The sequence below is a fragment of the Homo sapiens genome, chromosome 6 (assembly GCF_000001405.40).
Source record: "Homo sapiens chromosome 6, GRCh38.p14 Primary Assembly".
NCBI lineage: Eukaryota > Metazoa > Chordata > Mammalia > Primates > Hominidae > Homo > Homo sapiens.
In genome coordinates, this window is record NC_000006.12 from 81,569,106 (window position 1) to 81,595,971 (window position 26,866).

Below are 26,866 nucleotides of genomic sequence, written 5' to 3' on the forward strand. Positions count from 1 at the left end.
TCTGTGAGCTCCAGGTTTCTACCTCCAACTGCATAGTGAACATCTCCAAGCACATGTCTCCCAGGCACCACAAACTTAGAAGTTACAAAAGTGGATTCATTTCCCTCAACCTCAAACCTATTCCACATCCTGTTAACCCAGTGGTTTTCAACCAGAGATGATTTTGCCCCAAGAGACATTTGGCAATCTGTTGAGACATTTGTGATCATCATGTTTGGTGTTAGAGGGGCACTACTGGCATACGATGGGAGATCCTAACATGCTGCTACACATTCTACAATTTACAGGACACTCCTTCCCACAAACACAACAAAGAATTTGCTGGGGCAAAATGTCAGTAGGGCTAAGTTTGAGGAGAGATTAATTTTCAAAATGGTTAACATGATGGTTAATTGATAGTTACTAGTTTAATATCTCAGAGAAGAAAGATACCACCATCCATCCTTGAAGTTATCCCTATTTTCTTTCTCTCTCTCACTTCCCTCTTCTAGATGGTCACCAATCCCATGGATTCTAGACACAATCGACCCCTAAATTGCCACCCGTTCTACCATGACTTTAGTTCATACTGTCTCCTAGACTACATCATCCCTCTTATTAAATCTCTCTTTAATATCCCTCCACATCAGGCTTCTTACTGCTGCTTGAAAGATCTTGCCAAAATACAAATCTATTCATGTTACTCTTATGTAAAAACCATCAATCGCTTCTGCTGCCTATGGATAACATTCAGACTGATGATATAGTTCTTGTCCAGCCCCTTTATACCTGTTTAGTTCCTTATCTACAAACTCCCCAATCTCAGCTTCCGGTTCCCCAAACCCTCCATACACGCTAAGTTACCTGAAGATCTAGAGGAATTCTTGCTATCCTTCAGCTTGTGTGTCTTTGTATATCAGCCATCTCTTTATTCTTTTTTTTTCTGGTTAGTTTATACCTGTTATTCAAGCCACAGGTCATCTATAACTTTGTCTTCTTTTCCTAACAAACCCAGATCTGCAAAGAATACCTATATTCATCAAGATTCATGGTTGAAAATAGCAGAATAAGATTCTGGATAACTTGAATAGAAAATGAATTTATTTAAAAGTTTTCAGTGGCTATATTGAGTTGAATCATTTCTCCCAAAACATGTCAACCCTGGACTTGTGAATGAGACCTTATTTGGAAATAGGGTTGCTGCAAGAGTAAATCAAGTTATGATAAGATCATACTTGGTTAAGGTAGGCCCTAAGTCACATATGACTAGTGTCCTTATAAGAAGGAAATTTGGATACAGATACACAAATGGACAGGGAAGAATGTCATGCTATGTTTTTGTAAAAATAGGCAGAAATTAGAGTGATGCACCTGCAAGCCAAGGAACTTTAAGGATTGCCAGCAAGTGCCAGAAGCCAAGGAGAGAGGCATGAAACTGATTCTTCTTCTGAGCCTCCAGAAGGAACCAACCCTGACAACACCTTGATTTTGGAATTCCAGCTTCCTGAACTGTGAGAAAGTAAATTTCTCTGATTTTAGCCACCCAATGTATGGATGTTTGCTATGGTAGCCCTAGGAAACTACTACAGTAGCCCGTATAATCAATACAAAGGATTAAAATATGTGCTGTGGCTACTGAGTCAAAGCACAGTTAAAACCCTGCCCTGAAAACAATTTGCTTAGAAAGTTGTCTCTTGACACTCGACAGCCCTGTCAGCATTCTATGGACACTCTTTGTATAACTGGACTCCTTTACTTATCAACATTTACTGCTCACCACTAGATCCTCAGCTCAGCCTCAGACACCATCAACCCTTTCAACTCCCCATGTGACTCTGTCTCACTCTCTCTAGTTTGATGATAGCAGTGCTCCTAGCAGGCCCAGCTACATAATTTGAGGGCCCCAGTGCAAACTGAAAACATTGGGCTCCTTGTCCAAAAATTATTAATAGTTTTAATATTTAACCATTAAATTAGGAGCATTAAACCAACTGTTGAACTCTTCTAAGCATGGGTCACACAGCCATGATGCTAGCCCTGGCTTTTAGTCGTGCTCCATGACATACTGATGCTTGGCACTGACAAAGTTCACAGAAGTATTGTCCACTGCTTTCCATCTTTATAATGGACAACAGGGCCCTCCCTCCCACTTATTTTTCATTCCTTTAAAATAAAGTGATCTGATGTTTGGTAACCAAATGACAAATGTTTTAGGGCAGAGCTTATAAATATTTCATAGCACTGCATTGCAATTGACCACTTTCATATCTATCTTCTCTGCTAAACTGTTAGAAGACAAATGCTGAATTGAACAAGTAATGTTCTTTTCTTGTGGCCAACACTTTAAATCAGAGATGACTCACATAAATGATATACGGAATTTTCATTTCCTTGATAGTTTTCTCCTTATGTGGATAATTTTATTCTAATCATAGGAAATATGGATAGGAAATTTTGATGCTTTGTGCTTATTTCAGTTCTACTAACTTGACACGGAGAGAATTTTCTTTCTCTGTGTCTTTTTTTTTTCTTTTGAGACAGAGTGAAGTGGCATGATATTGGCTCACTGAAACCTCCACCTCCCGGGTTCAAGTGATTTTCCTGCCTCAGCCTCCTGTGTAACTGGGATTACAGGCACACACCACCACCCCAGGCTAATTTTTGTATTTTTAGTAGAGATGGGGTTTCATCATGTTGGCCAGGCCGGTCTCAAACTCCTGACCTCAAGAGATCTGCACCACTGCGCCTCTCAAAGTGCTGGGATTACAGTTGTGAGCCACCATGCCTGGCCAAGAGCATTTTCTAATTATCATATATATTGAAAAGTCAGTACCTTTATTAAGATGAAAACAATTGTCCAGGCTCTAACTTTTAAAATATCAACCTTGTTAAGGCAAATCAATTTCCATGTATCTCATTTCTTTCCTACCAACTAGTAAAGGACCATCTTTTCTGAAAGCCCCAGAATGGCTTGATATGCTCATCCAGTTTTGTTGCAACTTTACTAGGCAGTCCAGCCTCTGGAAAGATTGGATCTCAAAACAGAATGAACTTTCCACGTTCTCTTTTGAAAGATAAACATGCACTCTATAAACTTCATCGGACTAAACAACAGAAACATCTGTTTAGACTCATGTGCAGCTTTTTGGCTGAGTTCAGCAACAGGGAGGCTTAGGAAGTGTGTTCATTAGCTGTATTCTGCAGCACCCAAACATCATTGCTGGTCACAATTATGCACTGGAGAGATTACCAAGCATGGGAATAACCAAACTAGACAGCTATCCATAAACAATCTCTGGTAATGCTATTACACTGTCCTTACATCCCATGGTTTTGTCTTCCATGAGAAATAACTTTAGGACATAAATAAGCATGAAATAGAAAAGATTGCAGAACTAGATATGGTCGTTAGATCATTCAAATGAATATAAATACAGAGTTCTAGAAAAAAGCCTAGAAGAGCATCCCAAGGCTGTTTACTCACCATTATCTCTAGTCAATCCTTCTTACCAGATTAAAAGTACAAAATATTATTCTCTGCTAGTTACAAGTAACATCTGAACAGCTATCCTTAGAACTCTACTCCCATGTGTTTCCTGACTCAATAGTGAGTGATTTTTCATACTAGCTCTACGAGGTAAGTTTTATTATCATTTGATGAAAGAGGGAACTAAAGCTTGGAGAGTTAGTGACTTTTCAAGCTCAGAAAGTTAAAAAATAAGAAGATCCAACTGAAAACTGAGATCTCTTCAATCTATGCCCATTTCTTGTTGATACTGTTATTTTTTTACTGTGCCCAATAAACTCAGCTTTTAAATTTCAAGTATATCAGGCATTCTATATCTGATCTGTTTAAATGATCTATAATTAAGTAGGAATTAAATTACCAGATATTTTCTAGCATTAAAGCTAGAAAACAGCAGGTTTTGAGGAAGTAGATATAGAAAAGGCCCCCTGGAATAGAATGTACTAGGAGTGGGTAAAGAAGACCAATTAACAAGGAGGTCTGAGACAGCTGAAGAAAATCCATCTATTTTATATTTTTTAACCAGGTTCAGTTGACTTTATGTTGGAAATGTTAAATGTGACAGAAGTAAATGATAAAGTTGAAGAAAATTTACTCAACTTTATACATATCTTCATGAAGGCAAGATTCTGCTTGATTTTCCAAAAGTTTTTTATGAGATATATATGTGTGTGTATGTGTGTGTGTGTATGTGTGTACGTATGTATCTATACAGCACATTCCAACCAATAGCCCTATTGCATCTCTTAGTAAGAATGCTTTTAATATTATATATTTATATATAAGATTATTGATGTGTGTGTGTCCATTAAGTTTCATAAATCCATAAAAAACCTGTTTGGCTTTCATTTCACATTAAACATTTGAAAACAAAAACGATCATTCAAAAATCTGAATTCACTAGTTTTCTACATGAACCATGGCTGTGTCACTCAGATTCAAATTAAAGTAAAGCTGATTGAATGTATATTTTAAAAACTGAATCATTAGGTTGTTTTACTTCAAATAAAAAAATGCATATTGTTTAAGCAAATGTTTTACGCACTTTATTTTCCAGAAATGTTACTTTTATATTGAATGACATAGGATGTGCCCTGGAAAGCTTAGCATCGGAGATCCACTCCCTAATTCAGCAAAAAAAAAAAAAAAAAAAAAATCAAATTCTAAAATTAAGAGTCCTCCTATGTTGCTTTGAGCCAAAACTTTCATCAAAGTTCATTTATAGAATAGTACAATTGGCTTTTAAAGATATTGTTAAGATTTAAAAGTTAATACACGTTTATTGAAAAAATTTTAAAAGTATAGAAAAGTACCCATTGCCCATAATCCCAGTATTCATAATCATTTTTTCTTTTTTAGAGACAGTGTCTCGCACTGTTGCCCAGGCTGCAGTGCAGTGACACTATCTCTGCTCACTGCAACCTCTGCCTCCCGAGTTCAAGCGATTCTCCTGCCTCAGCCTCCTGAGTAGCTGGGACTAGAGGTGCACACCACCGCACCTGAATAATTTTTGTATTTTTAGTAGAGACGGGGTTTCACCATGTTGGCCAGGCTGGTCTCGAACTCCTAACCTCAGGTGATCCGCCCACTTCCACCTCCCAAAGTCTTGGGATTACAGGCATGAGCCACTGCGCCCGGCCTCATAATCATTCTTAATGTATATGAACAATCATACAGCCTTTTACACAGTGATAGAAGGAATAACACTGGCATGATAGTAAATGGTATAGTACCATTTAAAAATTTAATGAATTCCATATAAAAATGATTTCATTATGGAAAACTTGGTAAATACAGAAAAACAGAAGAAAAACATCACTCAATCATTCATACGCATGGTTTTTATAAAGGTATTATTTTATATTAGTGCATTTTATGCCATTTCACTGTCCATGTTGCTGATAATACTGCAGGCACTGATTTTTAGGAAAATACAGAGACAAGAGAGGAAGGAGGTAATATAAAGAGAGGCTTGATGACAGTTAATATCTACCATGGATGGTTTGTTGATCTTTTCCAATATAAAATATAGCCCACAAAAACTCAGATCTTTCAATAAGAGCTTTAAAGGTACAGAAAAACATCAGAAATTCCTTGGCATTTAAATGGCTTTATGTACAGTTTTGCTTTTTCGATAGAAGTAAAAGATTCTATCCCAACTTCCAAACTTTGTAAGTAGTTTAGTTATTGTTAGCAAGAACAAGTAGAGAATGATAAATATTATGGTTTTAAGTGGTCCTCATCTATACTGTGGGACGAACAATGAGAAATATTCTTCCTGATATTATCAAAGGAGCAGATGCAGAAATAGTTGAAGCAAAAATAGTTGAAGGAAACATTAAGAGACAAATTCTACTCTGGGCTTCAAATTCACCTGAAAATACATGATCCAACTGGATCCCTGGGACTGGGATCCATAAATCCTTAAACAATCCATAAGTCCTTTATACCACAGTCTTTCTTTTTTTGAGATTTTCATTTCAGTTTATCTTCCATTTGGCCAAATTTAAGTCTTTTCTTTATAGAAACACACATTAGTGTAACATTTTCTGAATCCTTGTACATCCAAGAATATTTTTCCCAAAGGAAAGAAAATTAGCTAAGTATAATTCTTGTGTCACTAACCTCTCCTTTCAAAATTCTGTGAAGAAATCTCCACTTTTTACTAGCATTTTGTTTTATAAAAAACAACAAAATTTTTATTGTTTTTTAAATAATTTGTTAAGCCTGCTGTGGCAGACATGCTAAATTGATATTCAAAACCTACTACAGCTTTCTTTAGTGCAACTTTTAGTACTGCAAAGGCTAGAAAATCTACAAATTATATTTTCCCAACACTTTTGCATCTAGGGATCTGGATGTGAGTTATAATTCACCAATTAGATGTACTTACATAATATTTAGATGGTGGAAGTAAGGAGGAGGTCATTTTACTTCTGTTTTGGCTGTTGCTATGAGCAAACACATTCACAGAAAAATATGCTGGGTTTTTATGAAGCAGAATTCCAGGATTCAGTGGCCAGCTGTATGAGTGTTTAGTAGCAGTTGTGGGAGCTTTCTGATCCCTGTATTGCAGCTACAGAAATGTTTACAAGTTTAGAAGCCTTCAAGTGGTAACCAGCTGATTCTCCCCCTTCCTGATTATGACACCACTACTAGCTCCTTTTCTTGGCCAGTTAGTAGTGTTGTTTAGGAAGTTTTTATTTAGAAGGCTAGCAGAAAGCCTACTCTTCCAGACCTTCCAAAGATAATCCTGAATTCAATCCTTTTCTGGTTTAACATAGTTGCAATGCTTTTTTGTTTCTTGCAACTGAATCCTGACTGATATGCTTCTCAGATGTTTGTAGAAGTTGGTTTTGTTGTTGTTATTACTAATTTTGTACAATCTGAGAATAGTGGACTTCATTATCTTATGGTTTTAGATAGGGTCTCGTTAATACTAATATCTCAGCTGAACCAACCTCACAATGCATGATCACAAGTGTTATAATTTTTCACAGATTTCCTATCTCCCAAGTACTTCCAGAATTCTTCAGTGTGTTTATGTGCTTGAATGAAGCATTGTTTGTCTGGATTAGCAGAGGCAATAATTCTCAGCCCTAGGACTCATTTGTGTCACAGAGATGTCACTCTGAGCTAGAACTCCATTTATAGTACTCAAGGCATTCCAGTTGCCATTTCCTAGGTGCTGAGGAAAATTAACAAAATAAATACATAAACTATTTTTGCCTTGATGACTTTGACCTAAAATGTGTTGATCTTACAATGCTGCAAATCTACTGCAACACAATGCCGTGATTTGAAATCTCACTATATCGTAACAATACAGCTAGGACTCAACCATGCCTTGTTACTAGAAATCCATGTTCTAATTCTTACAAAGTAGATTATGCTAAAACAGAGAGGGATGTGTTTGAGCAGAAGTGTTAGAAAATTCTATGATATGTCTCTTACAACTCACTGCTAGGTGCACACACAACTCCTGGTTGACTAGCTTGGATGATTTCTGGTAATGACCTCCACAGGAAACTGGGAAGTATCCTCCAATGTTATAGAGTGAGGTTAATCATGCAAAATATCCATTGGCCACTACTATATCTGCTTTCTTCCAACAGTCATCTGAACATGATTATAGAAAGGATTCCTGTACCTCTTTATCTTCACAAACCCTAGAAGTACTTTAACTTCCATACAAATATATGTTAGGAAAAAAAGACACATGAAAACATGCAGCCTATCTTAACCCACTGGTAGATTTTAAGTCTCAGCTTCAGTCTAAGTAGAATACATACTTCCAATTTTCTTCTAACACTATTTTTCATAATAATTTTATTTGAACCATAGCTAAAAAAATTTATCTGATTTTGCTTCTTTTCTGTTTTTGTTTCTATCCAAGAAATGAAAGTTATTCAAAACATTGGATATTTATTTTGTTTTCCATATTCATTATCCTCCCTATTATTTTAAAATCATTTCTCTTTCATTTTTCTCCTGAGAACACTTTTAAAATATGTCTTCCATCTCACTTATTTCTTTTTCCACACAGTTTTGTTCTTTAGCTTTTCCATTGTGAACTTTAATTCTACCATGACAATCTTAGTTTCTTAGGATTACTTATGTCAACTATGTACTTTTCATTTCATCCAGTTGCCTTTTCAGCTCAGTTTACTTTTTCTTTTTAAACAGTATCAAGCCTTTGTATTATAAAAACTGAAACTTTCTTCATGCTACTAACAAACTTTTACTTGATCCTAAAGGGAGGTTGGATTACAATACCAATCCGGTACTTTGTTTTACCTTCACAATAAATGGAGTTAGATGTTCTAAAATAATTAGATTTTTCAGGAAGTAGTACAAGTACAAACTTATATTAAACTCTAATCATTCAATGTGGAATAGTATAATATTTAGAGTAGCCAACAAAAGAAGAGCAAGGAATACATAAATAACAGGATAATAAGGAACAATATATGGAATGATAAAAGATATTTGATCAATCCAAAAGAGGACAGGAAAAAAAAGATAACATGTATTAGGTGTGACACTGATTAAAAAAATAGTAATGTTACAAATGTTAAATGTATCGACAATAACATTAAACTAAAAGAAGGCTAATATTCATAAGTAAGAAACTAAAATAATAATTATATGGACCTCATAAGAGAGACAACTTAAATATGAGAACATAGAATGATAGAAAGTAAAAGAGTGGAAAAAGAAACATCTAAAGACTAATTGAAAGATAGCTGGTATAGGTATACTAAAGCATACACAGTCGTGTTTAAAATATGAGGCATTATTAGAAAAAGGGAGCCATTTATAATGATAGAAGGCTCCACACAACAGAAAGATGTAATGATTCTCAATATGTATGTGCCATATATCATAGCCTCAACAGATACTTTAAAAGAAGATATATTAGACTACTTTACATTGAATAACCACAATTCTTCAAAAGAAAACATTAAGATAGTAAAAAGATAAGCCAGAGTGGGAAAATATATTTAAAATATATACATCTGACAAAAGACTCAGACATACACACACATAAATACACTCACATTTTGTTTTGTAAACAAAGGAAACTAACTCTTTAAATTATCTGAAGCAAAATGAGACTTTATATAATTGTAGCCAAGGGGCTCTCTTTTATCACTTTTCTCTCCTTTGCTGCTATTTATTGGAGACTGATTTTTTTCATGAGTCTAAAAACAGGTATCAGCATGTCCCACATTTCACATGTCTTTCATCACAAAGATATCCAAATCTTTTTTTCTAGATGCAGTTTTTCAAATCCTAAGAAAGGACTGGGATAGATGTAGATTAGGTTATATTTCAACCTCTGGACCAACCTATAGCTGATTACTGAATACTCAGTATCTGTACTGAAGCTGCAGATTCACACACTAGAATTAGATCACTGAAATAAAGAGCAGTTTTCTGAGCGGCGGTTCCAAGATGGCCGAATAGGAACAGCTCCAGTCTACAGCTCCCAACGTGAGCAACGCAGAAGACAGATGATTTCTGCATTTCCAACTGAGGTACCGGGTTCATCTCACTGGGGACTGTCAGACAGTAGGTGCAGGATAGTGGGTGCAGCACACCGAGCATGAGCAGAAGCAGGGTGAGGCATCGCTGCACATGGGAAGTGCCAGGGGTCAGGGAATTCCCTTTTCTAGCCAAGGAAAGGAGTGACAGAGGGCACCTGGAAAATCGGGTCATTCCCACCCTAATACTGCGCTTTTCCGACAGTCTTAGCAAACAGCACACCAGGAGATTATATCCTGCGACTGGCTCGGAGGGTCCTACGCCCACAGAGCCTCACTCATTGCTAGCACAGCAGTCTGAGATCAAACTGCAAGGTGGCAGCGAGTCTGGGGGAGGGTTGCCTGCCATTGCTCAGGCTTGAGTAGGTAAACAAAGCGGCCTGGAAGCTCGAACTGGGTGGAACCCACCACAGCTCAAGGAGGCCTGCCTGCCTCTGTAGACTCCACCTCTGGGGGCAGGGCACAGCCAAACAAAAGGCAGCAGAAACCTCTGCAGACTTAAATGTCCCTGTCTGACAGATTAAAGACACTAGTGGTTCTCCCAGCACACAGCTTGAGATGTGAGAATGGACAGACTGCCTCCTCAAGTGGGTCCCTGACGCCCGAGTAGCCTAACTGAGAGGCACCCCCCAGTAGGGGCAGACTGACACCTCAAACGGTCAGGTACCCCTCTGAGACAAAACTTCCAGAGGAACAATCAGGCAGCAACATTTGCCTTTCACCAATATTCGCTGTTCTGCAGCCTCCGCTGCTAATACCCAGGCAAACAGGGTCTGGCGTGGCCCTCCAGCAAACTCCAACAGACCTGCAGCTGAGGGTCCTGACTGTTAGAAGGAAAACTAACAAACAGAAAGGGCATCCACACCAAAACCCCATCTGTATGTCACCATCATCAAAGACCAAAGGTAGATAAAATCACAAAGATGGGAAAAAAAACAGAGCAGAAAAACTGAAAATTCTAAAAATCAGAGCTCCTCTCCTCCTCCAAAGGAATGCATCTCCTCACCAGCAATGGAATGAAGCTGGACGGAGAATGACTTTGACGAGTTGAGAGAAGAAGGCTTCAGACGATCAGATTTCTCTGAGCTAAAGGAGGAAGTTCGAACCCATGGCAAAGAAGTTAAAAACCTTGAAAAAAGATTAGACGAATGGCTAACTAGAATAACCAATGCAGAGAAGTCCTTAAAGGACCTGATGGAGCTGAAAACCACAGCATGAGAACTACCTGACAAGTGCACAAGCCTCAGTAGCCAATTTGATCAACTGGAAGAAAGGGTATCAGTGATGGAAGATAAAATGAATAAAATGAAGTGAGAAGAGAAGTTTAGAGAAAAAAGAATAAAAGAAATGAACAAAGCCTCCAAGAAATATGGGACTATGTGAAAAGACCAAATCTACGTCTGATTTGTGTACCTGAAAGTGATGGGGAGAATGGAACCAAGTTGGAAAACACTGCAGGATATTATGCAGGAGAACTTCCCCAACCTAGCAAGGCAGGCCAACATTCAAATTCAGGAAATACAGAGAATGCCACAAAGACACTCCTCGAGAAGAGCAACTCCAAGACACATAATTGTCAGATTCACCAAAGTTGAAATGAAGGAAAAAATGGTAAGGGCAGCCAGAGAGAAAGGTCGGGTTACCCACAAAGGGAAGCACATCAGACTAACAGCTGATCTCTCGGCAGAAACTCTACAAGCCAGAAGAGAGTGGGGGCCGATATTCAACATTCTTAAAGAAAAGAATTTTCAACCCAGAATTTCATATCCAGCCAAACTAAGTTCATAAGTGAAGGAGAAATAAAATACTTTACAGACAAGCAAATGCTGAGAGATTTTGTCACCACCAGGCCTGCCCTAAAAGATCTCCTGAAGGAAGCACTAAACATGGAAAGGAACAACTGATACCAGCCACTGCAAAATCCTGCCAAAACGTAAAGACCATCGAGATTGGGAAGAAACTGCATCAACTAACGAGCAAAATAACCAGCTAACATCATAATGACAGGATCAAATTCACACATAACAATATTAACTTTAAATGTAAATGGACTAAAGGCTCCAATCAAAACACACAGACTGGCAAATTGGATAAAGAGTCAAGACCCATCAGTGTGCTGTATTCAGGAAACCCACCTCACGTGCAGTGACACACATAGGCTCAAAATAAAGGGATGGAGGAAGATCTACCAAGCAAATGGAAAACAAAAAAAGGCAGGGGTTGCAATCCTAGCCTCTGATAAAACAGACTTTAAACCAACAAAGATCAAAAGAGACAAAGAAGGCCATTACATAATGGTAAAGGGATCAATTCAACAAGAAGAGCTAACTATCCTAAATATATATGCACCCAATACAGGAGCACCCAGATTCATAAAGCAAATCCTTAGAGACCTACAAAGAGACTTAAACTCCCACACAATAATAATGGGAGACTTTAACACCCCACTGTCAACATTAGACAGATCCAGGAGACAGAAAGTTAACAAGGATATCCTGGAATTGAACTCATGTCTGCACCAAGTGGACCTAAGAGACATCTACAGAACTCTCCACCACAAATCAACAGAATATACATTCTTCTCAGCACCACACCACACTTATTCCAAAATTGACCACATAGTTGGAAGTAAAGCACTCCTCAGCAAATGTAAAAGAACAGAAATTATAGCAAACTGTCTCTCAGACCACAGTGCAATCAAACTAGGACTCAGTATTAAGAAACTCACTGAAAACCACTCAACTACATGGAAACTGAACAAACTGCTCCTGAGTGACTACTGGGTACATAATGAAATGAAGGCAGACATAAAGATGTTCTTTGAAACCAATGAGAACAAAGATACAACATACCAGAATCTCTGGGACACATTTAAAGCAGTGTGGAGAGGGAAATTTATAGCACTAAATGCCCACAAGAGAAAGCAGGAAAGATCTAAAATTGACACCCTAACATCACAATTAAAAGAACTAGAGAGGCAAGAGCAAACACATTCAAAAGCTAGAAGAAGGCAAGAAATAACTAAGATCAGAGAAGAACTGAAGGAGATAGAGACACAAAAAACCCTTCAAAAAAATCAATGAATCCAGGAGCTGGTTTTTTGAAAAGATCAAAAAAATTGATAGACCACTAGCAAGATTAATAAAGAAGAAAAGAGAGAAGAATCAAATAGACGCAATAAAAAATGATAAAGGGGATATCACCACAAATCCCACAGAAATACAAACTACCATCAGAGAATACTGTAAACACCTCTGCGCAAATAAACTAGAAAATCTAGAAGAAATGGATAAATTCCTCGACACATACACCCTCCCAAGACTAAACCAGGAAGAAGTTGAATCTCTGAATAGACCAATAACAGGCTCTGAAATTGAAGCAATAATTAATAGCTTACCAACCAAAAAAAGTCCAGGACCAGACGGATCCACAGCCAACTTCTCCCAGAGGTACAAGCAGGAGCTGGTACCATTCCTTCTGAAACTATTCCAATCAATAGAAAAAGATGGAATCCTCCCTAACTCATTTTATGAGGCCATCATCATCCTGCTACCAAAGCCTGGCAGAGACACAACAAAAAAAGGGAATTTTAGACCAATATCCCTGATGAACACTGATGCAAAAATTCTCAATAAAATGTTGGCAAACCGAATCCAGCAACACATCAAAAAGCTTATCCACCGTGATCAAGTGGGCTTCATCCCTGGGATGCAAGGCTGGTTCAACATATGCAAATCAATAAATGTAATCCAGCATATAAACAGAACCAATGACAAAAACCACATGATTATATCAATAGATGCAGAAAAGGCCTTTGACAAAATTCAACAATGCTTCATGCTAAAAACTCTCAATAAATTAGGTATTGATGGGACGTATCTCAAAATAATAAGAGCTATTTATGACAAACCCACAGCCAATATCATACTGAATGGGCAAAAACTGGAAGCATTCCCTTTGAAAACTGGCACAAGACAGGGATGCCCTCTCTCACCACTCCTATTCAACATAGTGTTGGAAGTTCTGGCCAGGGCAATCAGGCAGGAGAAGGAAATAAAGGGTATTCAATTAGGAAAAGAGGAAGTCAAATTGTCCCTGTTTGCAGATGACATGATTGTATATTTAGAAAACCCCATCGTCTCAGCCCAAAATCTCTTTAAGCTGATAAACAACTTCAGCAAGTCTCAGGATACAAAATCAATGTACAAAAATCACAAGCATTCTTATACACCAATAACAGACAAACACAGAGCCAAATCATGAGTGAACTCATTCACAATTGCTGCAAAGAGAATAAAATACCTAGGAATCCAACTTACAAGGGATGTGAAGGACCTCTTCAAGGAGAACTACAAACCACTGCTCAATGAAATAAAAGAGGATACAAACAAAGAGAAGAACATTCCATGCTCATGGATAGGAAAAATCAAAATCATGAAAATGGCCAAACTGCCCAAGGTAATTTATAGATTCAATGCCATCCCCATCAAGCTACCAATGACTTTCTTCACAGAATTGGAAAAAACTACTTTAAAGTTCATATGGAACCAAAAAAGAGCCCTCATTGCCAAGTCAATCTTAAGCCAAAAGAACAAAGCTGGAGGCATCACGCTACCTGACTTCAAACTATACTACAAGGCTACTGTAACCAAAACAGCATGGTACTGGTACCAAAACAGAGATATAGACCAATGGAACAGAACAGAGCCCTCAGAAATAATGACACATATCTACAACTATCTGATCTTTGAAAAACCTGACAAAAACAAGAAATGGAGAAACGATTCCCTATTTAATAAATGGTGCTGGGAAAACTGGCTCACCATATGTAGAAAGCTGAAACTGGATCCCTTCCTTACACCTTATATGAAAATTAATTCAAGATGTATTAAAGACTGACATGTTAGACCTAAAACCATAAAAACCATAGAAGAAAACCTAGGCAATACAATTCAGGACATAGGCATGGGAAAGGACTTCATGTCTAAAACACCAAAAGCAATGGCAACAAAAGCCAAAATTGACAAATGGGATCTAATTCAACTAAAGAGCTTCTGCACAGCAAAAGAAACTACCATCAGATTGAACAGGCAACCTACAGAATCGGAGAAAATTTTTGCTATCTACTCATCTGACAAAGGGCTAATATCCAGAATCTACAAAGAACTCAAACAAATTTACAAGAAAAAAACAGCCCCATCAAAAAGTGGGCGAAGGATATGAATAGACACTTCTCAAAAGAAGACATTTATGCAGCCAAAAGACACATGAAAAAATGCTCATCATCACTGGTCATCAGAGAAATGCAAACCAAAACCACAATGAGATACCATCTCACACCACTTAGAATGGCGATCATTAAAAAGTCAGGAAACAACAGGTGCTGGAGAGGATGTGAAGAAATAGGAACACTTTTACACTCTTGGTGGGACTGTAAACTAGTTCAACCATTGTGGAAGTCAGTGTGGTGATTCCTCAGGGATCTAGAACTAGAAATACCATTTGACCCAGCAGTCCCATTACTGGGTATATACGCAAAGGAGTATAAATCATGCTGCTATAAAGACACATGCACACATATGTTTATTGCAGCACTATTCACAATAGCAAAGACTTGGAACTAACCCAAACGTCCAACAATGATAGACTGGATTAAGTAAATGTGGCACATATACACCATGGAATACTATGCAGCCATAAAAAAGGATGAGTTCATGTCTTTTGTAGGGACATGAATGAAGCTGGAAATCATCATTCTCAGCAAACTATCACAAGGACAAAAAACTAAACACCACATGTTCTCACTCATAGGTGGGAATTGAACAATGAGAACACTTGGACACAGAAAGGGGAACACCACACTCCAGGGTCTATTGTGGGGTGGGAGGAGAGGGGAGGGACAGCATTAGGAGATATACCTAATGTAAATGACGAGTTAATGGGTGCAGCACACCAACATGGCACATGTATATATATGTAACAAACCTGCACATTGTGCACATGTACCCTGAAACTTAAAGTATAACTACAAAAAAAGAAAGAGCAGTTTTCCATAAGAACATTGTGCTTCCAGACCAAAAGAAAAGTGTACTGTTATAGGTTGAATTGCACCACCCATCAGAAAAAGGGATGTTGAAGTTCTAACCCACAGTACCTCAGAATGTGATGCTATATGAAAATATGATTGTGTTGAATGTAATTAGTTCAAATGAGGTCATACTGGAGTAGTGTGGGCCCATAATCAAATATGACTGATGTCCTTATAACAAAACAACCATGTGAAGACAGAAAGACACACAAACAGAAAGCCATGATGAATGCGGAGATTGGAGCTAAGCAGCTGTAAGCCAGTGATCACTAAATATTGCTGACAGACACCAAAAGCTAGGAATAGTCAAGGAAGGATCCTTGGTTCAAAGGGAGCATGGCTCTGCTGACACCTTGATTTTACACTTCTATCCCCCAGACTGTGAGACAATAAAGTCCTGTTGTTCTAAGCCACACCCAATTTGTGGTACTTTGTTATGGCAATCTTAGGAAACTAATACAGGTGCTGAATGGAGAAATTTGTAAATTTCCACTTTACTGATATCTGGAGAACAGAGTTGTATGGGAGGAGCACAGAAAGGCAAGTGAACCCAGCTCATCATTTCCAAATGATTTATTATTTGGGTGTGATATTTTATATGTGTTTAGAATTCTACACAATGGCTAGAAACCACTTGGTGTGTTTTGGACATTTCAAGGAACCAAGATGAATGACTGAGGAATGTCAATATAGACCCTTTTAATTAAAACATAATGGCTAAATTGTACTGAAGGATTCTCAATCATTTTCTGTTTCAAATATTCACTCTCATTTCAGTAACTCCCAGGATCTGCTCTTGTTATAGATGTAATCAAAAAATGATTTAAACATTTACGTAGCATTTTTATGTGCAGAATTAACTTCTACATTAAAAATTTCCTTTTTAGGCTTAGCAAACAATTCTATAAAATGTACACGCTTTATAAAACATATCCCCCTATATTAGTCTGTTCTCAAACTGCTAATAAAGACATACCTGAGACTGGGTAATTTATAAAGGAAAGAAGTTTAATTGATTCACAGTTCCACATGCCTGAGGAGACCTCAAAATCATGGCAGAAGGTGAATTAGGAGAAAAGTCATATCTTACATGGCAGCAGGCAAAGAGCTTGTGCAGGGGAACTCCCACTGATAAAGCCATCAGTCTCATGAGACTTTTTCACTAACACAAGAACAGTATGGGGGAAACCACCCCCATGATTTAAATACTTCCACCTGGTCCCATCATTGACATGTGGGAATTATTACAATTCAAGGTGAGATTTGGGTGGGGACGCAGCCAAACCATATCATTCCACCACTGGCCCCTCCCAAACCTCACATCCTCACATTTCAAAACCAATTATGCCTTCCCAACAGCTGCCCAAAGTTTTAACTCATTTAGGCATTAATTCAAAAGTCCACAGTCTGAAGTCTCATCTGAGACAAGGCAAGTCCCTTACGCCTATGAGCCTGTAAAATCAAAAGCAAATTAGTTACCTCTTGAATACTTTGCTGCTTAGAAATTTCTTCCAACAGATACCCTAAATCATCTCTCTCACGTTCAAAAGTTCCACAAATATCCAGGGCAGGGAAAAAATGCCACCAGTCTCTTTGCTAAAACATAGCAAGGGCCACCTTTACTCCAGTTCCTAACAAGTCCCCCATCTCCATCTGAGACCACCTCAGCCTGGACTTCATTGTCCATATCACTATCAGCACATTGGTCAAAACCATTCAACAGGTCTCTAGGAAGTTCCAAACTTTCCCACATCTTCCTGTCTTCTGAGCCCTCCAAACTGTTCCAACCTCTGCCTGTTACCCAGTTCCAAAGTTGCTTCCACATTTTTGGGTATCTTTAGAGCAGCAGCCCACTCTACCAATAACAATTTACTGTGTTAGTCTGTTCTCACGCTGCTAATAAAGACACATCCAAGACTGGGCAATTTATAAAGGAAAGAGGTTTAATTGACCTACTGTTCCACATGGCTGGGAGGCCTCACCATCGTGGCAGAAGGAGAATATGAAGAAAAGTCACATCTTAATGGCGGCAGGCAAAGAGCTTGTGCATGGACACTCCCATTTATAAAACCATCAGATCTCGTGAGACTCATCCACTACCACAAGAACAGTATGGGGGAAACTGCCTTCATGATTCAATTATCTCCACCTGGCCCTGCCCTTCACATGTGGGGATTATTATAATTCAAGTGAGATTTGGGTGGAGTCACAGCCAAACCATATCACCCCCTTACCAGCTTTCTCTAGTTTCAGAAAGGATCATCACTACTTCATTGTTCTACTTCAAGAATAGTGAAAGGAATTTTTGAATGACATGTTGTCTGACTAGTTGCATGTTAGGTCAACTTGGTAATAAAAGTATCCTCTAGGGATTAAAATACCATTGTTAATTATTCATTCCTTCAGGTGATGGCATGAGAAATATCATTTTTTTTTACTATTTCTTTTGGCCACTCAAAGGCTTTCTTTATTACACATTTAAAACATATGATAAAATGCCATCTACTGTTGTTTTTTTTATTATACTTTAAGTTCTGAGATACATGTGCAGAACGTGCAAGTTTGTTACATAGGTATACACGTGCCATGGTGGTTTGTGGCACCCATCAACCCGTCATCTACATTAGGTATTTCTCCTAATGCTATCCCTTCCCTAGCCCCCACCTCCCAACGGGCCCTGGTGTGTGATGTTCCCCTCCCTGTGTCCATGTGTTTTCATTGTTCAACTCCCACTTATGGGTGAGAAAATGTTTGGTTTTCTGTTCCTGTGTTAGTTTGCTGAGAATGATGGTTTCCAGCTTCATCCATGTCCCTTCAAAGGACATGAACTCATCCTTCTTTATCGTTGCATAGTATTCTATGGTGTATATGTGCCATATTTTCTTAATCCAGTCTGTCATTGATGGGCATTTGGGTTGGTTCCAAGTCTTTGCTATTGTGAATAGTGCTGCAATAAACATGTGTGCATGTATCTTTATAGTAGAATGATTTATAATCCTTTGGGTATATACCCAGTAATGGGATTGCTGGGTCAAACGATATTTCTGGTTCTAGATCCTTGAGAAATCACCACACTGTCTTCCACAATGGTTGAACTAATTTACACTCCCAACAGTGTAAAAGCGTTCCTATCGCTCCACATGAGAACCATCAACTTTTTAAATGGTGATGTTATCTGGAAGAGCCACATGTCAGCCAAGTTTGTCATTACAACTTCCAGGTTGAATTGGGAGAAGTAGCTGGTTTACTTGTATGCTTATTTAACTTGTATTTCTCCTTATTCCAGATGAGACTTTAAATGATTGAGGTGTGTCTAGTTTATCTATACCACTAATTAACTGCACAAACTTTGGCTAAAACTCAGTTTCCTCATCTTCAAATTGGGGAAAATAAACTCTCATCAGATAAGTGTTTAAGATTGAATGGAAAAAAAATCTGTGGAAGTTAATTGTACAAAGAACAGTACCTGAATTCATATCTGTGTTATCTGTCATTAGTTTGGGTTAGGGTCCTAAAGAAATGAGACCTGCATGTGCTTTTGGAAAGGGAGCTGGGGTGAGATACTGGGTACTGTTCAGCTTTTTGGCATTTTGGCCAAGAAAGTTTGGCATTTTTTACAAAGCCAAATGTAGTCTTACCATTTGATCTAACAATCATGCTCCTAGGTAAGCAGATGAGTTGAACGCCTATACCCACACACACACAAAAATCTGCACACAGATGTTTATAGCAGCTGTATTTATAATTGTCCAAAATTGGAATCACACAAGATGTTCTTTAATAGGCAAATAGATAAACAAACTGTGCTACATCCTTACATAAAATATTACTCAGCAATAGACAGAAGTGAGTTATCAAGCCACAGAAAGGCATGAAAGAAACTTAAATGTATATTACTAAGTGAAAGAAGCCAATCTGAAAATGTTACATTCTTTCTGATTCCAGCTATATGACATTTTAGAAAAGGTAAAACTATGGAGACAGTAAAGATCTGTGGTTGCCAGGGATTAAGGGGAAAGGAGCAGGATGAATAGGTAGAATACAGGGAATTTTTAGGATGGTGAAACTATTCTGTATGGTGTTGCAATGGTGGATATATGAAATAATCAAAAGCCATAGGACTGGGCTGGGCTCACTCCTATAATCCCAGCACTTTGGGACGCCGAGGTGGGCAGATCACGAGGTCAGGAGATCGAGACCATCCTGGCTAACACAGTGAAACTCCGTCTCTACTAAAAAAACACAAAAAGTTAGCCGGGTGTGGTGGCACGCACCTGTAGTCCCAGCCACTCGGGAGGCTGAGGAAGGAGACTCGCTTGAACCTGGTAGGCAGAAGTTGCAGTGAGCTGAAATTGCGCCACTGCAATCCAGCCTGGGCGACAGAATGAGATTCCGTCAAAAACAAAACAAAACAAACAAAAACACCCATAGGACTGTAAAACACAAAGGGTGAACCCTAATGTAAATTATTATTAGTTAATAATAATATATCAGTAGTGGTTTATCAATTGTAACAAATGTGCCATAACTACGCAAAATGTTAAAAACGGGCAACTGTGGGTGGGATAGATGGAGTATATGAGTATTCTCTGTACTTCGTGCTCAGTTTTTCTATAAACCTAAAACTGCTCTGAAAAAATAGTCTTAATTTAAAACAAAATAAAACAAAGTTTATGTGCTTCACACTTAGATGCTGTTAGACACTGCCACTGAGACTTTCCATAGAACCTCAGGGTAATATGTGCAGAAGCACTTTTGTTTATTAAATTTACCTTCTAATCTTGTCCCAAAAGGGATTTAATTTTGCTGGGTAGTAAGGCCTGGGTATCAGTCCCATAGTGGCAAGTAAACCGTGTAAAGTCTCAAAGCTGGTGCTGGAGTCCAGCTATGCTCATGTTATGCTCCACCAGATGGCCTCCAGGGCAATGGCACTGGGGAAAACCATGAGCACCCTTTTGTTTTCTCCTTGTTTTGCAGACTGTCTGCCTGAAGGCCTGTATGTGTTTAACATATAACTTCTCTGACTTCAGAAATTTGTTAAGGGTTTCATTCTCCTAATTTAAGCCTAGAATATATCTTTCCCAAGAAGAAATCCTCTTCATTACTTCAGGCACAAAAGGAATTTGTGAACAGCTTTAGACATTTCAGTTCAGATAACAACCCTTGTTCTTTCCTACTGCAGAATGTTTGCTCTTTCATATGCTCAACTTTCAATCCTATTTGCTCTAGTTCATTTTATTTATCTTTAATAATAGCTTATCATTTAATCTTTTATTGTTTGTAAACTTAGCAATCTAAGAAATATGGTTGAATAAATGCAATGTACCACAATAGAACTACTGTTGTTACAGTAGGTAGGTAGTCTGACATGAGCAGGGCAGCAGAGGGCCCCCACGCACACCAGGAATGTCAGGCAACCATCAGGTCATGGTCAGGAGGTTGTTAAACTGCGTCTCTAAAATAATAATTGGCTGCAGCTGGCAACAGGGAACGGCCATCTCCCAATGAATAGAAACACCTGAAACTGGTGGTCAGCAGCTTCCCGATAAGATTTCAGGAGTTGGGTGAGTAGGCTCAAGCATGCACACTAAGAGGCAAAATGGTAGAGTTTAACTGGTACGTGACCTTCCTCTAGGAACACGTGACTAGTAAAGGAAAAACACCTCAAGTCACTAAGAGGCAAAATGTTGGAATTTCAACACGTCTTGACTAGTATGGGAAAAATGTCTCAAGTGAGCATGCCTAAAATTTCAGTAAACACACTGTGCTTGCAGCCCCTCCCAAGTGCAGGTAGGCTGCTGCACGTGTGGATGACCTGAGCCCAGGGAAGAATCAGGGAAGAAGGGACACAACCCACAGAAAGCATGCCAACGTTTAAAACCCCAAGTCAAAGGTTAACTGGGCACTTGAATCTCTCAAGTTGCCCCCTTGGCCTTCTTCCAAGGGTACTTTACTTTTGTTCTTCCTCTAAAACTTTAATAAACGTTCATTCCAGCTCTAAAACTGACATACATCTTTCCCTCTGCCTTATGCCCCTCTGTAAAGTTATTTCTTCTGGGGAGGCAAGAATTGAGGTTTCTGCAGACCTGTACAGATTTGCTGCTGCTAACATACTTTGATGATGTGTGACTCCAAGGCAGTGTTCTGGGGGTGGCTAAAAGCTCTTGTCGCATGCTCCACTTTTATCCTTTCCTTAAGAAAGCAGTGCCATCCCCTAAAGAAACTCTGCAAAGCCAAGAGAACAGAGTTGCCATGTTAGCTCTCTATCATTCGGTCTCTCTAAACAACAACATGTGTAGTCTCTGACCTACATTCATTTTTGCCATCAGCAAAATTTTTCTTTTCTTGTGGAAAATTAACTATGTAACTAGCCATACCTGAGGAGACCTAGAAGCTAATCCTTTCATGGGTTTAATTTCCTTAACCAACATTTCCCAAAAGATAGTATTGGTAGATGAGATTTGATGTGATACATAAATAGCAGTGGTACATGAGTTATGCATTTATTTTATTTGACATTATAAAAATATAATCGCACATCAAATCTGTGATTTGATGGACATTATTCCTTAGGAAGAGTAGAAGAGTATTTTTAGAGAAAAATTGTATAGTTGGCAACTGGTTATGGCAAACCCATAGAGAGAAAAATCAAATGACAAAGTCTGGGAAACATAGCTTTCAACAAACGAAAGAGGCACATTAAATTTTTCTAATAAGTTACTGTAATAACTGATTCTTTGGCTTTCTTAACAAATAAATGGGAGTTCTATTTTAGTTTTTTGAGGAACTTCCATACTGTTTTCCATAAAGACTGTACTATTTACATTCCCACCAACACTATATAAGAGTTCCCCTTTCTCCACATCCTCCCAGCATTTGTTAGTTTTTGTCTTTTTGCTCATTCTAACCTAGGTGAGATTATATCTCATTGTGGTTTTAATTTGCATTTCCCTGATGATTTGTGATGTTGAGCACTTTTTCATTTTCCTATTGGTCATTTGTTTGTTTTCTTCTGATAGAGATATATTCTACTAATTTGCCCTTTTTAAAATCAGAATTGTGTGGGTTTTCTTTGTTTCTTTTTTATTGCTGTTGAGTTATTTGAGTTCCTTGTGTATTCTGGGTATTAATTCCTTGTCAGATGAATAGTTTGCAAATATTTTCTCCCATTGCTGTGCAGAAGCTTTTTAGTTTGATATAACCCCATTTGTTTATTTTTGCTTTTGTTGCCTGTACTTTTGAGGGCTTCTTCATAAAATCTTCACCCAGAATGTCCAAAAGTGTTTTCCCTAAGTTTTCTTCTAGTAATTTAATAGTTCTGGATCTTACATTTAATTCTGTAATAAATTTCAAGTTTATTTTTATATGTAGTGAGAGGTAGGGGTCTAGTTTCATTCTTCTGCATATGAATATTCAGTTTTCCCAACATTATTTTTTAAAGAGACTGTTTTTTCCCCACTGAATGTTCTTGTGTCTTTGTTGAAAATCAGGTAGCTGTAAATATGTGGATTTCCAGGTTCTCTATTCTGTCCCATTGGTAAATGTGTCTGCTTTTATGCCAAGACCATGCTGTTTTGGTTTTCATAGCATTGTAGTATATTTTGAAGTCAGGTGGTAGGTTGCCTCCAACTTCGTTCTTTTTGCTCAGGATTACTTTGGTTATTGAGGGTCTTTTGTGGTTAAATATACATTTTAAGATTTTTTTGTTTATTGCTGTGAAGAATATAATTGTTGGTTTGATAGTCATTGCATTGAATCTGTAGATTGCTTTCGTTATTATGGTCATTTTCACAATATTAATCTTCCTTTTCATTAATATGGGATGTCTTGTTTTGGTGTCCTTTTCTTATTTTTTCATCAGCATTTTATAATTTTCTTTATAGAAATATTTTATCTTTTTTACCTTCTTGGTTATTTCCTCTATGTATTTTATTTTTGTAGCTATTATAAATGGAATTTCTTTCTTGGATTTATTGGATATCTTTTTCTGCTATTTTGTTGTGGGTGTATAGACATGCTACTGACTTTTGTATGTTGATTGTGTATCCTGCAACTTTGCTGAATTTGTTTTTCAGTTGTAAAATTTTTTGGTGGAGTTTTACGTCTATATATGAGATTATGTTGTCTGCAACCTGGGACAGTTTGCCTTTCTCCTTTTGTATTTGGATGCACTTTATTTTTTCTGTTGCCTAATTGCTCTGACTAGGACTTCCAGTACTATGGTGAGTATGACCCAGCAATCTCACTACTGTGTTTATATCGCCCCCCTCACTGCCAACCTCCAAAATGAAATCAGTATACCAAAGAGATATCTGCACTGCTATGTTCATCACAGCACTATTCACAATAAGCAAGATATGAAATAAACCTATGTGTCTATTATCTGATGAGTAAGTTAAAAATTGTGAACCAGCCTGGCCAACATGGTGAAACCCTATCTCTGTTAAAAATACAAAAAAATCAGCCAGGTGTGGTGCACACCTGTAATCTCAGCTACTCAGGAGGCTGAGGCATGAAAATCACTTGAACCCAAGGGGTAGAGGTTGCAGTAAGCCAAGATCACACTATTGCACTCCAGCCTGGGCAGCAGAATGAGACTTTGTCTCAAAAAAAACAACCAAAAAAAAAAAAAAAGCTGTGGTACATATACACAATGGAATACTAGTTAGACATAAAAAAGAATCAAATTCTGTCATTTGTAACAACATGGATGAGCTTGGAGACATTATTTTAAGTGAAATAAGCCAGTCACAGAAAGATAAATACTGCATGTTCTCACTCATATGTGGAAGCTAAAAAAGTTGGTTTCATAGAAGTAGAGAGTATAATACTGGTTACTAGAGGCCAGAAAAAGTAAGGTGAGTGAAGAATAGCCAGAAGGTGATTAATAAATATAAAAGTACAGCTGGAGAGGAGAGAAAAGTTATAGCGTTCTACAGCACTAGAGGGTAACTATAATTTTAACAACAATGTATTGTATATTTTCTAATAGCTAGAAGCACAGAATCTGAAAGTTCCCAGCACAAAGAAATGAAAAATATTCAGTTATAGATATGCTAATTATCCTGATTTAATTATTACACATTTTATGCATGTATTGAAATATTACCCTATACCCCATAAATATGTACAATTATTATATGTCAATTAAAACTAATAATAAAAGCAAAAAATTAAAAATAAATAAATCTAACTTAACAGAGCCATCAAGGGAAATAAAAGTCAAAGAGAAGCTGAATAGCCTTAGTATTGTGTCTAGCAAGTCTTAAGCCTAACTCGATCTTCTGAATCAAACTTTCCTTCAAAGTTAGGTAATGGCTAGAAGTTTGGGATTCTTTGTAAGAACTCTGTTCTTATAACCTAGCCATCCGCAAAGAATACAAATCTACCTGGATGTCTCACAATATTTTCTGTACACTATTGCCAAGGTAAACAAGTATTTAACTCTCAAATCTACTTTTTGAATATTTTTTCCAAGTTGATATCTTTAACTGACCAAGACGAAAATCTCTCATATCCCAACAATCACCATGGCCTATTACTTCTACCTCTTTAATATCATACAAATGAAATAACTTTTACTCATCATTATTACAGATTTCTAGGCCATTATTATTCCTTTCCTATTTTAGGACCCAATTTCTATTTCACTTTCTCCAAGGAACCTTCCCTTACACTCAGATACAGGTTGGAGTGCCTTCAATTATTTCCCTAAAACACCTATTTCTCATAACATCAATCACAGAGAGCGAGTCCATCACCTCTACCCTCTTAACTCTTTCTTAGAAATCCTACCTTTCTTAGAAAGCCTACCTGTCTGCAACTGGGAATGAATGGAATGAAGCTCAAGGATTAAGTAATATTTAAACCTTGACCTTCAGTGAGGCTGAATGTTTGTCCCACTAAAATTCGTATGTTGAAACTCTATCTACCAGTGTAATAGTATTAGGAGGTGGGGCCTGTGGGAGGTAATTAGGATTAGATGAGGTCACGAAGGTAGAAGCCTCTGGAATGAGATTAGTACCCTTATAACAGTCCAGGGAGAGCTTGCTTCTCTCTGTTCTTTGCCAAGTCAGGATACAAGGAGAAGTCAGCAGTCTGCAGCCCAGAAGAGGGCCCTCAGCAGAACCTGACCATACAGGCACCCTTATTTCAAAATTCCATCAGAACCTGACCATACAGGCACCCTTATTTCAAATTACCAGCAGACAGGTAGGAGTTCTAAGAAAGGCAGGATTTCTAAGTAAGAGTTAAGAAGGTAGAGGTGGTGGACTCACTCTCTATTGTTATGAGAAATGTGTTTTAGGGAAATATTTGAAGGCATTTTTTTATTTTTTTGAGACAGAGTCTTACTCTGTCACCCAGACTGGAGTGCAGTAGTATGACCCAGGTGTGACCCCGGCTGGAGTGCAACCTCTGCCCCTTGGGTTCAAGTGATTCTTGTGCTTCAGTCTCCCAAGTAGCTGAGGTTGCAGGCGTGTACCACCACTCCTGGCTAATATATTTACTATGGTCAGGTTCTGCTAAGGGCCATCTTCCAGGCCGCAGACTGCCGACTTCTCCGTGTATCCTGACATGAATACAAGGAGAAATAATTTTTTGTTTTTTATGAGCCACCCAAACTATGGTAATTTTTATAGCAACCTGAACTGCCTAAGACAATAAAGACTCAATTATAATTTTTTGTCAACATGTCTTGTTTCCCCGATTAGATAAAATATCTTCCAAGACTAGTTAGTACCTTTTTAGTCTTAGTCATTGCTTTATCCCCATCCATGCATATACAATAGATGCTTAATAAACCTTTGTTGCTAACTAGATAAAATAAAATAGTCAATGGATTGTTTCAATAGCTTTCTAACTGGTCTTCCTAACTTAATACCCCTTCCATCCACTCTCTGTACTGCAACGAGAGTGCTTGTTTTAAAACACAATTTAATAACATCATGTTGTTATTTTAAACAATTTTGGTTAAAGGTTACATAAAAGGAACTTCAGCTAAAAATAAATTTAAAAGGGGACTTTACTTGAAGGAGTATTGCTGATATTCTCTGTGCTCTGCCACAACCCCTTGGATCCACACAATATAGTCCAGCACATGGATCCTGGCATGGTCCGACTCTTAACAGCCAGTACTTAAATCGATGTTCAAGAGCTTCTCTCAGCTATTGGAACAGAGAGGTAGGGTTCCCTTGGAATTTGGGATCTCTGAGGGGCAGTTCTTAA

At 37.9% G+C, this 26,866-nt stretch overlaps 1 annotated feature.

The window, feature by feature from the left end:
- Positions 20,414-20,602: a silencer, noted in NCBI's record as "fragment chr6:82299236-82299424 (GRCh37/hg19 assembly coordinates)". NCBI's record gives its function as "represses an EF-1alpha promoter that drives an FKBP-Casp9 reporter gene in an ReSE screen in phorbol 12-myristate 13-acetate-treated (for megakaryocytic differentiation) K562 erythroleukemia cells {active_cell/tissue: K562(+PMA)}" and the evidence as "EXISTENCE:reporter gene assay evidence [ECO:0000049][PMID:32094911]".